This window comes from Homo sapiens, chromosome 7, assembly GCF_000001405.40.
Source record: "Homo sapiens chromosome 7, GRCh38.p14 Primary Assembly".
NCBI lineage: Eukaryota > Metazoa > Chordata > Mammalia > Primates > Hominidae > Homo > Homo sapiens.
The window spans coordinates 147,638,193-147,651,042 of record NC_000007.14 but is presented as its reverse complement, the minus strand read 5'-3'; the positions used below and the strand labels follow the sequence as shown (position 1 = coordinate 147,651,042).

Here is a 12,850-nt window from a genome sequence, read left to right as displayed (position 1 = left end):
CCTAAGCCTTCCTCATCTTTCCTCCAAATATAACCTCTTCAAACAGGGGAGGCAGAATTACCTAATGCAAAATACACATATCAAAATGTTTGGAAGTCATTATGAATTCTAAATTTATTCAGTCTTTTATCCATGATGGACATACTAGTTAAGATTTTTTCAGTATTTATAAGTCTTATACAAAATGATTTTATTGTCATCATAAAAAAAATTTCACTCTATATTTTAAGGCAAATGCTATTTAAAAGTCCAGTAAACAACTCAGGGGTTGGGGCACCAACCCCCTGTGCAGTAAAAATTGACCTACATCTTTGACTCCCCACAAACTTAACTACCAATAGCCTACTGTTGACTAGAAACCTTACAGATAACATAAACAGCCAATTAACACACATTTTATATGTTATATATATTATATTCTGTATCCTTACAATAAAGTAAGCTAGAGAAAAGAAAATGTTATTAAGAAAATTAAAAGGAAGAGAACATACGTTTACTAATCATGAAGCATAAGTGGGTCATTATAAAAGTCTTCATCCTCATATCTTCATGTTGAGTAGGCTGAGGAGGAGGAGGAAGAGGAGGGGTTGGTCTTGCTGTCTCAGAGGTGGTAGAGACAGAAGAAATCCACATGTAAGCAGACCCTCACAGTTTAAACTCATGTTGTTGAAGGGTCAACTGTATTATTTTTACCCTCATTGTATTCTCATAGCACCCAGCTAAATATTTTATACTCAATAAATGTTTGCAGAATGAATAACTGAGCAATATCTTAGTAATACTTTAGGTATTTCCAAGAGAAGTTTATTGTAAAACTCTGATGCTTTTTTTCAGTATCTTGTTTAGGGGAGGTATTTTCAAAAATAATTTACGATTAGGTTTATCAGGTGATGAATTAAGTTTATCTTCATTTTACGATGTAATTAAAGTGGATAATTTTAAGGAAAATATATGAACTGGAAAAAATTACGATTTAATGTCAGTAGAAAAGACTATCAGATTAACTTCATTCCAGTTTTGTTTCTGTGAAAGTATGTACAGATGGAAGCAAAAACTAGAGAGTAATATTCATAAAGATAAATAATAAAATTGTCAGTACTTTTTAAAAATTTTCTCCTTAAATTTTGTTACATTATTTTATCCTTCACAAAGTTTAAAGTACATTTTTTTTTATCTATCCAATCTTTTTAGAAGACTTTTTATGATTATCCCTTTTTTTATTCAGAATGGCAGAGTAAGTAGTATGGAATTTTGAAAAATAGTCCAAAAGTAGTTTTTTAATTTTTTGAATTGGATAATAGCCGTTTCTTCATTTTTACAATCTTTTATAATATAATAAACTAAAATGCAAATTTTAAAAACTTGGCTTTATGGTCTTTTAATATATTGAAGTTTAGTTTAAATGCAACTCTATAAACTCATACTTCTCATAAATTAGGACAAATCCGTTCATTAAGATGTGATCATCTTCAAAGAAAATTCAGCTTTGGTGTAATTTCTAAGTTGCTCTCATTTTAATATATAATCTTTGTTTAAAAAAGATTAACAGCAGTGTGGTATCCCGTCTGAAAACTTAAGAAAACATATAGCCAGATAACTACAAGGAGAAATAAACATGAAACCCATAATTCTCATGCAGTCTTTGCATTTTCACTTTGCTTTATGATTATTCTATACTAGAATAAGTATTTATTTGAACATGGCTTTTCAGAATCAAAAGGTTAGAGTCTACCTTAAACAGAAAGACATGAGAAGGCAGATTTTCAAGCTCTACAGAGTGACTGGATAACCTCACAGAGTTTCCATTTCATCCTTATATTTGTTATTTTAAAGACTAAGCTACATACAAAATCAAAGTCTCACCTCAAAGCTCAAGTCTGCCACTTGAAAGGCACTAGCAGTACCCTTTTAGTACAACTCGAGCTACCCTTAATAAAATTTACCTTAAGATTAATTTATTAATCAGAAATACTGGAACTGACCAAAGGTCACTTGGTAAATAGCATTTCTAATCATGCACACAAAAAAGAAAATGACAAGAGGGAAAACGTTCTTTCATAGTGGTTGAAGAGATGAGGGTGGGTACAATTCCTGCCGGGATTAGTTCTATACTCACTTTGGTGGCCAAGCATTGACTTCTCCATGTTCACAGTTTCTTCAGTGTGTCAGAAAGGTTTTTAATAGGATAGATATACATTTGAAACTCAGTTTTTCCACTTCCAGCAATGATGGCTGATATGGTTTGGCTGTGTCCACACCCAAATCTCATCTTGAACTGTAGCTCCCACAATTCCCACGTGTTGTGGGAGGGACCTGGTGGGAGGTAATTGAATCACGGGGGCAGGTCTTTCCTGTGCTACTCTCATGATAGTGAATAAGTCTCACAAGATCTGATGGTTTTATAAAGGCGAGTTTCTCTGAGCAAGCTCTCTTGTCTGCCGCCATGTGAGACATGTCTTTCACTTTCCATCATGATTGTGAGGCCTCCTCAGCCATGTGGAACTGTGAGTCCATTAAAACTCTTTCTTTTGTAAATTGCCCAGTCTCAGGTATGTCTTTATCAGCAGCGTGAAAATGAACTAATATGGTAGCCTTCAGTAAGTTTATTCCTCTGAGTCCTATTTTGCAAAACAGAGATAATAAAATCTACTTTGCGTAACTTTGAGAGTTAAATGAGATAAATGTCTAGAATGGTATTGTTCAAGACATTTAATGAGAACTTCTGCCCTTGTCTTTAGCTCCCTTCTTGAAACAGGTGTCCTTGTTCTTTACCAAAGCAAATTCTACACTCTTCTTTCTCTCCTGGGACCTATTATTCCTTTTCTGTCTTACATCTTTAATCTGAACCTCTCCAATGTCTCCTTCTCAGTTTATAAATTTACTTACAACTCCTCATCCCTAAAAATATCAAACATTTTTAAACCCCTACTCTTGCTTTGTCATCTGATTAAGCAGCTTTTCTACATGTAGCCATCCTCGTACCATCAACCTTTTGAAAACTTACCCCTGCTCTTTCCTTTCCCCATGCAGTCTTCAGTGGCTCAATCCACCAAACTCCACTGACATGAAACTCCAGCAGCCTCCCAACAGATAATGACAGGGGATGGCTTCCTCTCTAGGATGTCTCACCATTCACCATACCTCAATTTTCTTGCTTTTGCTTATTTTTTTACTTGCTTGCCTGTTTATTGTTAAATACCCATCTCCCTTAGCTTCCCAATTATAGGACTTTCCTAATCTGATTCTTTCTTCCTACTGTTTAATAACTTTTCAGTTCCTTTAGCTAGCTGCATCCTCTTCTTTAGTCCCCTTTTAAAATTAGTGTTTTTCTAATTTATTCACTATCTAGGTAGATGTCTAGAAGCTGGGCATGATGGAAGATACTAAGATATGGCCCCTGTCCTCAAAGACCTTGTGTTATTGTAAGAAAGAGCCCATTAAAACACCAGAAAACAATGAAGAGCAAGAAAAGCCATGAATAGCCCATAATCAACTGCTAAGTGATAGAGGTTAGGCCCTAAGTGAAACAGAAATTCAGAAAAAATGGTGATCACCGTGGGTAAGAATTGTAGAAAGTTTCATAAGGAAGCAAATAATTGTAGTACCAGTATTTTTATTTTTTATTTTATTTTTTTGCTTACCAGTTAATCTGTAAAAGAAGGGTGTCCTCTTACATTGAAATTGGCCTTTGAGTGGAGTCTCTCTTTATCTCTGACCCTCGTTAAAAAAAAAAAAGTGAACTGGCCGGGCGCGGTGGCTCACGCCTGTAATCCTAACACTTTGGGAGGCCAAGGCGGGCAGATTGCCTGAGCTCAGGAGTTCTAGACCAGTCTGGGCAACATGGTGAAACCCTGTCTCTACTAAAATACAAAAAAAAAAGAAAAAAAATTAGCTGGGCGTGGCAGCATGCGCCTGTAGTCCCAGCTACTCAGGAGGCTGAGGCAGGAGAATCACGAATCACTTGAACCCAGGAGGCTGAGGTTGCAGTGAGCCTAGATCATGCCACTGCACTCCAGCCTGGTGACAGAGTGAGATTCCGTCTCAAAAAAAAAAAAAAAGTGAACATAATAACATTCCATCCACAAACAAATAAACAAAATTAGTATTTTTCTTTTCTTCTGCGTTCTTTTCTTTCTCCTCCCATTACCTCTCTGAGTCATCTTAAGAAGGCATTACAACTATTCAATAAGTCCACGTGATCTTTGCTCCTGAGTACATGGGAAGATTGTACTTTGTCCTCTTCTAAAGTTAGGCCCAGCAAAACATGTGACTTGCTTTGGTCCATAAAATGTACACACACACAACGTGTTACTTCCTTGCAGGAGTATTTAATTGTCTGCGCTTAGGTTTGCAGCCTGCTCCTCCCTTGCTTCAGACATCATGCAGGTGCCATGAAACCAAGGCAGCCCAGGAAGCTGAAGCAATACAGGAGGCTTTGCATGAGGAAAAAAAAAATTGGTACATAATTGAGATAGGTCAGTCTTGACTATATGTTTTCTGATCTTTCAATATAAATACAAGAATGGAAAACATTAGGATTCTGATGATACTCTTAGTTCTTCCATTTTATTTTAGTTGTAGAGTATGTTTAAGAAAATTTCAAGGAAGAAAAAATTTAATTCATTAATCTTTTGATGTCAGTTAAAAGGATTTTACACTATGCCATCAGCCATCACAGATCACATAAAAACCTGTATTCCTAGTGCCATCACTTTGCATGTTAAAGCTAAGTGACCACCAATTCTCCAGTTTTTTCTTAATAAACAAGGTAAGCCTTAGAACTGTTGGCCAGTTTTTCAAGTCAGAAACTTGAGTCACCCTTGAATTTTCTTCCTCCTGTATATATAAGTAATCACAACTCCTGTTGATTCCAGCATCTAAACTTAAAAACAATAACAGCAACAACAACAACAACAAACTTTCTCTCAAGTCCCAGCTGGCCTCCCAGACATGCAGTCCATGTGCACTCTGGTGCGGACAGACTCTTCCCACCACCTCTGCTTCCTCCACTCCAGTATCCATGGAACAGCCAGAACTTCCCTACTTGAAATCATTCTGTTTGCCATTCAAATAAAATCCTCAACATTAGGTAGAGACTCTGAATTAATTTCCGGTTTCCATTTTTCTGCCTCTCCCACCTTCAAGTTCACTACTCCAGCCATTCTGACGCCTCTCACTTCCTTCAAATTAGTGTCTCTTGATCTCCATCTCTGAATCATTGAATATGCTGACATCGCTAACCCAGAATCCTTCTCTCATTTTTTTCTTAGTTAACTCATATGAATCTTTCCCATATCAGCTTATATGTCACACTTCCTGATACACAGGCAAAACTAAAAAATATTTGTTGACTTATTCTCCTACTCATTATTCCAGTTGAGGTTCTCATCAACTCCTATCCATATTGTTGAAATAGTTGCTTACTCTTCTCCCTGCAATCCCTCTGTCCCCTTCAATTACAGTGCCCATCATGCAGATGCTAGTTGTCTGAGTATGAAACATTACTCGATACAATTTTCTAATTTTACCCTTTAGTTATTACTATCCTCGTTGCTTGTCTCATTTAATTATATCACCCAATTTTAATACAATGAGTGGGTATAATAATTAAGTAAATAATCTTCTGATTAATACACTGATTAGTCACAATAAATTTTATTTACTGAAAAATCTTTTATTGGAATTGATTTATCCATGTCGTCTTAAGAGTTAAATGCTGCAGCTTCTTATAATGCACAGCATAACTTGAAATTCATTTGCTTGATAGCCGCACCAAAGTTTAGAATTTCTTGCTAAAAATAGATTATATGTTACAATGCCAGAGTCATGTTTTCTTGTCTTTTCAAAGCCACTAAATCACAGTTTAGTATCATAAAGTATGCTGAATTTTACACAGCTTACTTTATAGGCAAAAATTGTAAGCATAATTCAATTTCAATAGATACAAAATCTAATAGTAAACTATCCAAAAATATATATAATTTATATTGCTTCTTTCAACAAAAGAAGCAGTAAAAAGTATCATTCATGAAAACTAGCCAACACTGAAAAATTAAAAGAGGAAAAACACTGGAAACCAACAAAACAGGGCTAAATATAGCCAGAAAAATAGGGAAGATAACTTTTTATCTCTACAATTAAATAAATATATATGTAAGGAATCAATACTTCAGCAAAAAAATTCTTAACTAGAAAGTGTAATATGATTTGTAAAATAAATATATGACTACAATGTATGTAAGATACACAAATAAACATTTTAATGGCAGCATAATAGTTCTTGTCCAAATACAGAGAAACATTTTGGTTATCTAAAAGTATTAGTATTGTTGACTAAGACTACTCAAGTAGGCTCTAAGGGAACTCCCTCAGTGCTTGATTTATCTAATTCAAGATTTGTTTTGTTTTGTTTGTTTGTTTTGCGACAGAGTCTCGCTCTATCGCCCAGGTTGGAGTGCAGTGGCATGATACCAGCTCACTGCAACCTCTGCCTCCCGAGTTCAAGTGATTTTCCTGTGTCAGCCTCTCAAGTAGCTGGGATTACAGGTGCATGCCACCACACCCAGCTAATTTTCTGTATTTTTAGTAGAGACGGGTTTTCACCATGTTGGCCAGGCTGGTCTTGAACTCCTGACTTCAAGTGATCCACCTGCCTTGGCCTCCCAAAGTGCTGGGATTACAGGCCTGAACCACCCCACCCGGCCAAATTCAAGTTCTTATGGTACTTATTTGAGAAGTAGATTTCACTGTTCACTAATTTAGCCCTTCATAAGTTAAGGTAATATTACATTTACAAATCCGGGGATATAAATATAAATCATGTAGACATCCATTTGGATGACCATTAATGATTTTTCTCTGTTTGGGTAGAACTAATTTGGTGATTCCCAAATTGGTATGCCTCATTCTAAGCAGGCTTTTCTACGTAAAATAAAATAACTTTTTATTTTTCCATTTCTGTGTATTTTGTAAAGCTGAGGACAACTGAAGTAACAGTTACATTGCGAGAATGGACATGACCATAAATACTGGCAAAATCATTATTTTTAATTTGTTTCCATTTTTAAGTTTTGTAGTAATAAAAGAGAGCACATTACAAGGCATGTATTACTATCCTTGTAAAAATTGGAAGATACTAATAATGGGTAATTTTACATTTACTAGCTAATGGTATGGTATAAAAGAATATTTATCAAAATAAAAATGAGGTCCATATGAATATCAACTCTTTATCATAAGTATCATTAGAAACTATAGAGCCCCAAATGAACTCTTGAGCGTAAAGCTCTTAAAATAAAAAATAACATTTTAAGCGCAAAGCTATTACAAACTCATTTGATATTCATTTTAATTGCAATCACTATAATGAATATACTTTGTATTTGAACAGATGTCACAAGTACTACTACAGAAGTTCTAATATAATTTCAGTCTTAGTTAAGAATAAGTAAATGGATATTTAAAATTGAATGTTACCATGAAGGAGGAAAAAAAAATCAATTACAGTAAACATTAGCTTCTTTAAAACACAAATTAAAGATTTTTATTAAATTGTGTTCTTTCTTGTTTTGACATATGCAAAATATAACAATACAAGGAACTTGCTGTCTCAACCACTCCTTTTCCTTGCGTCAGCTATTCTGCAGATTAGTAGGCCTGGAAAATGAAAATTGGGAGTGTAAAAAATGACTCAGAAGGGTAAGCTGAAATTCACTTTACGATATTTAGAGACTGGTATATCAGAAGGATTTAAAATTTTTATTATGCCAATTTATTTTAGCTGAAGGAGGTAACTATGTATGCCATTTTATTTCAATGGGTCAGACAAGCCCTAATATTCCCTTTAATCTTCTCCCACATGAAGGACTAACACCTTAAATTCCAACATGAGAAACCTTCATGCCATAAATTAAAGACAGTGTTTCTCAATGTGTGATTCACAGAATTACCCATGGGTGTTTGTTAAAAGCAAATATTCTGAGGCCCCAACCAAGCTCTATCAAAGCCTGGGAGTAAGGCCATTCAATCCACATTTTGACAAGCAACCTAAAAATTTTGATGCACACTCCTGCTTAAACCACTGCCCCAAGGTTGGGTGAGGTAACACTTAAAGCTATATATTATTCATTTCATTTGAATCAGCAAACATTTGTTAAGTACAAATCCTATGTGAACCAAAGATTTGATATATATATAGAATGTCCAAACAGGCAAGAAGCTTATGAGAAACTGATTTTTGAAGTATTATTTATTATGTACAATAATAATCTACAAATGATGGGAAACCCAGTGTCTAGATGTCTAGAAATACAAAGAAAGTGATATATTTACTGTTCAGATTAAAAGTTTACTCTTGATTTCAATTTAGCAGTTTTTCTCGTGAAAGGGGTATCTAGAGGTTAAAGAAAAATGTCTTCATCTCATTATTAGGAAATGCAACTAACAGAGTGCTTAATAACAAGTTTATCCCATTTTTCCTGATGTTTTGTACATTTTATGTTTTGTAAAGGAGAGTGGTTATGTGTGTGAGGCTTCACGGTGGCCGAGGGGAAGAGACAAGGAATGTCAATGAGGGGGAAAGAAAGATGCTGAACTGCAAGACCAGGAGCACTAAAGGTGAACTATTTTCCCACCTCTAGTCTAATTCTCCTGGTACCTCAACCGTAAGTTGAACATATTTGGAAGCCATACTGTGTTTTTTAATTACCAGAGCAAAATTCAAAAACTGAAAGCTGACTTTGGAGTTTAATACAAGAAAGAAAGAAAATAAAGAACATAAAGCTGAGAGTACCAAGGTTCTTTTGCTGGTCAGGAATTTGTCCCCACCTCCACCCCTACCCCAGGACTGAAGACTAATTAACTGGAATCTGTGAAAAGGGCTTCAATAAGGAGCAGCCGCTCATGAAACAGTGAAGACAAGCTGATGAGGTTCATTAGTGGCTCTTATTGCCCTTGGTCTTCTACATACAGTCTTTGACTTTTCCTGGCACTGGAAACAGAATCCAGTTAAAACACACACACACACACACACGCACACACACACACCTATGATAAGTGAAAGTGAACAGAAAAAAGAGTTGTGCTGGTTCTCAGCATGGTCTCTAGAGCAGGAATATCAGCATCACTTGGAACCCCATTGTATTCATCTGCTCAGGCTTCCATAACAAAATACCATAGATTGAGTGGCTTCAATGACAGAAATTTATTTTCTCACAGTTCTGGAGGCTGGGAAGTGAAAGATCAAGGTTTTGGCTGATTCTGTTTCTGGTGAGGGCTCTCTTCCTGGCTTACAGGTGGCTGCCTTTTTGCTATGCCCTCACATGACAGAGCTCTGTTTCTTCTCCTGAGGCCACCAATCCTATTGGACTAGGACCCCACCATTATGATCTACCTCATTTAATCTTAATTACTTACTGAAAGCCAAATCTCCAAATATAGTCACATTGGGTGTTAGGGGTTTAACACAGGAATTTGGGGGAACATAATTCAGTCCATAGCACTCATTATAAATGCAAATTCTCAAGCACCACCTGAGACCTACTGAATCAGAAACTCAGGAAATGGAGCCCAGCAAAGCAGGTTTTATTATCTCACCAGGTATTGTAATGCCCACTAAAGTCTGAGAAGTACTGGCCCTCTGGATGAAGTCCCAACTCCACAGCACAGCATTTACTTTCCTTCCCAGTTTACTCCCACCCTCCTTTCCAACCTTATTTCTTAGAGGGTACTCTGTCTATAATTCTAGCACAAGGCTTTGCACATAGAAAGCACTCACATTTTCACAATATTGTGTACTATCGTTATAGAAGTTATTAAGAAATTATTAAGAAATTATTTTAGACACATAGAGGGGAAAAGGGGTCTTTTAAAGCAGCTCCAAAATGTTTCTTGTCTAGCAGGAAAGCCCCCGCTCTTAGAGCCAGGCCGGCAAGCTTTGATGTGCAAATACCGGCCATTAGAAACTGGGTCCACCCAAACATGGCGATTCCTGCCCTGTTCTTCCTTGCCCTCACATGTGCCTGGCAACATGGCCGCCCCCACATATCTCCATGTGGGTAGAGCATCATGGCGCCCTGCCTTTGCATATTAAAAGGCTAGGGTGGGAGGGCCAGTTTTCCCCCTGGGCTACGTGAATAACGTGCCCGGTCAAACCAATTCCCTGAGCCCTATGCAAGTCAGGTACCACCTCCTCCAGCCTCCTCATATAAGCAGCCACTTTACCACCACACACAGGGTTTTCTCTCATTGGAATCCCTTCCTCTCTCTGTCTCTGTATGAGGGAGCTGTTTTTTTCCTCCTTCCTTCTTTCTTGCCTGTTAAACTCTCCTCTCCTTAAAACCACTCCACGTATGTCCATGTCGTTTTATCCAGTTCTGCGTGAGATTAAGAACCTTGGTGTTCCTTCAGTCATCGGAGCCTTATCACTGTTTGCTTATAACTCTTCTCTGTAAACTGCTCCCTACAACATTGCTTTCAATTCATTGCTGTTTTGGGGCATCCAACAGCCCATTGGTCTCTGACATAGCACAAAGTTGCTTAACATGATTTTAAAAAATCAATATACTACTTGCTACTTATCATGTCCTTAAGTGTATCAAGTCTTATAAGTACCTAGTATATTACCTTATGAAATTCTCCCAATCACCCTGAAGTAGGCATTATAATTTCTCCTTGACAGAAAAAGTCGCTGGAAACTGAGGCTTAATATCAAAAGGTCTATTGTATAACATGGTGACTACGGTTAATAGCAATGTATTTATTATATCTCGAAAACTGCTAAGCATGGATTTTAAGTATTTGCTTCACAAAAAATAATAAATGTATGAGGCAAGGCATATGTTAGTTTGATTTAGCCATTGCACTATATATATATATATATCATATCATATTGTACACGAAAGACATATACAATTTTGTCAATTAAGGTAAAATTTTAAAAAGAGGTCAACTCACTCCACCAAAGTCACATACTTGGGAAGTGGTAAGGTTGGAAATTATGAGCTCATGTTTCTTTGACTTATTTCCACTGTGTTTTACTACAGACACAGAGATGCAGTTTTCTGACAACATCTCGAATTTACTGCCAAGACTCCCAGAGCATATGGAACTTGTTGCAGTAAAGTTATTTCCAGTATATCTTTTGGAATCTCTCTGTTCTCTACACCCGGACACAGTCTTGCACACATGTATGTGTGTTTGCATGTGCACACTCACACACACACTAGCACATGCTAAAAGTTGGCCATCATGAAAACAAAAAATCAGGCTAGACTTCTTGAGACAAACAGGTACTGTGAAGCAACTACTGGGAAGAAAGAGCTCTAAATTCTATCGCTATTCTATATCCTATTTGGCTGTAGACAATTTTTAGAATGCTTTCATCTTTACAATAAAGACACCTGAAGCTCTCAAAGGGAATTGCTTGAATGTTCACAAGGAGCTCTGATAAACTTTGTCCCACAGCCACTACTGACAGTTAAGCACTAGAAACATATATGCACATACAATTTAAAAATCCGTAAGTTTAAAACAATGGACTATTTTTTCCTCAAAATCATTCTTTCTTAGCTTCATTCCCCAGAAAACAAGCCCAATGATTTTATTTTACTTATTTACAGCTTCCTTCCTACTGAAGACTAGACTATAAGATAATGAACCACACCTGTTGGATTCTTTAGGCAATTCTAAGCACCAGCTGAGATAGTGATTAAAAGTAACATTCCATTCTCAGCCTACCTGGGGTGTTCAACAATCTTGACATCTTGCAGAAATAGGAGACATACTGCTCGCAGTACTCGGCACTGTCAGTGATGGCACTTATCTGGTCCATGGAGGCGCTGTAAACGAGCTGTGTCACTGAGTATTTTTCTGGGTTGTAGCCGACCACAGGCGTCTGCATCTGCAAGTCATGAGACACTATGGTCCACACTTTGTCCTCTGTGGGGAGAAAAACAACCAGGACCCTGGATCATTAGTATGCAAATGCTTCTCCAAATGTCAGAAAATAATTGAGCCACACTTAAATGGTCTTTTTACTGAGCTGGTGTAGAACAGTGTTAAGGAGAGCAATCCTTAAAACCCCCTGCTCTTTGCTCATCCCTAAGTTCTGCTTATGAGGACAAAGTAGGAAAGTAATATTTTTATTGAAAACAAATGCAAGATACCTCCTGAAAGCAAGGCAAAAAAAGAAAAAAAAAAAAAGCTTTTGTATCTTGTTGGTGCTCTAACATCTGCAGCATTGAATATCAGGCTCATTATGTCCCAACTTCTTGCTGACTTTGTCATCCATCATTCCTCTGGTGGAACAGGATTTTCTCTTTCCTAAATGAACTATGCTCTCTTTCAAGCCTCTGAGTCTTCCTACATGGTGTTTGCTCTCATCAGAATATGTATCCTCATCTTGTCAACAAATGTTCTCTTCACACTGACCTTTTAGGCAAAATTAGACATTGCATTCTCTGCTATTGAAATGTTCTGTACATGTGGAATAAAGCAAGTGACTAATTATCTTGGTGATTTTGACCCTGAAAATTTCACTGCGAGAAAAGAAGCAGATATAAAATAGATAAGGTTAAATAAAAGCTCCATATACTTTTAAATTTTAGTTAGAAGCATCTCTAAGAACCTAAGATAATGTTATCTAATTTTAAATGTGGCATATGTCTTGCCTCTGTGCACTGAAAAAGCTCCTACACAAGGACTGACCTCGTGCACCAGACTGTGATCACTAAATACCATTTCCTCTAAGATAAAACTAGGATCCCTGGAGAAATGATGGCTTCTACGGCTGGAAATGTGCAAGATGAAAGATGAGCCAGGAACATATCCCAGTAGAAAAAAAGAAGCAATT

General features: G+C 36.7%; 1 protein-coding gene across 2 annotated transcripts in view; it reads right to left on the bottom strand.

The window, feature by feature from the left end:
• Window positions 1-12,850, bottom strand: part of CNTNAP2 (contactin associated protein 2) — a 2,304,198-nt gene that overhangs the window by 769,956 nt on the left and 1,521,392 nt on the right. Inside the window, exons 13-14 of one of the 2 annotated variants that reach the window (XM_017011950.3) lie at window positions 11,737-11,937; window positions 3,165-7,656 (exon numbers count right to left, since the gene is read on the bottom strand). In XM_017011950.3, the coding sequence (XP_016867439.1) occupies window positions 7,610-7,656; window positions 11,737-11,937 (248 nt within the window). In that variant the 3' untranslated portion in view covers window positions 3,165-7,609. Of the gene's footprint in view, window positions 1-3,164; window positions 7,657-11,736; window positions 11,938-12,850 lie in introns of those variants that run through there. The other variant, NM_014141.6, reaches the window with a different exon arrangement.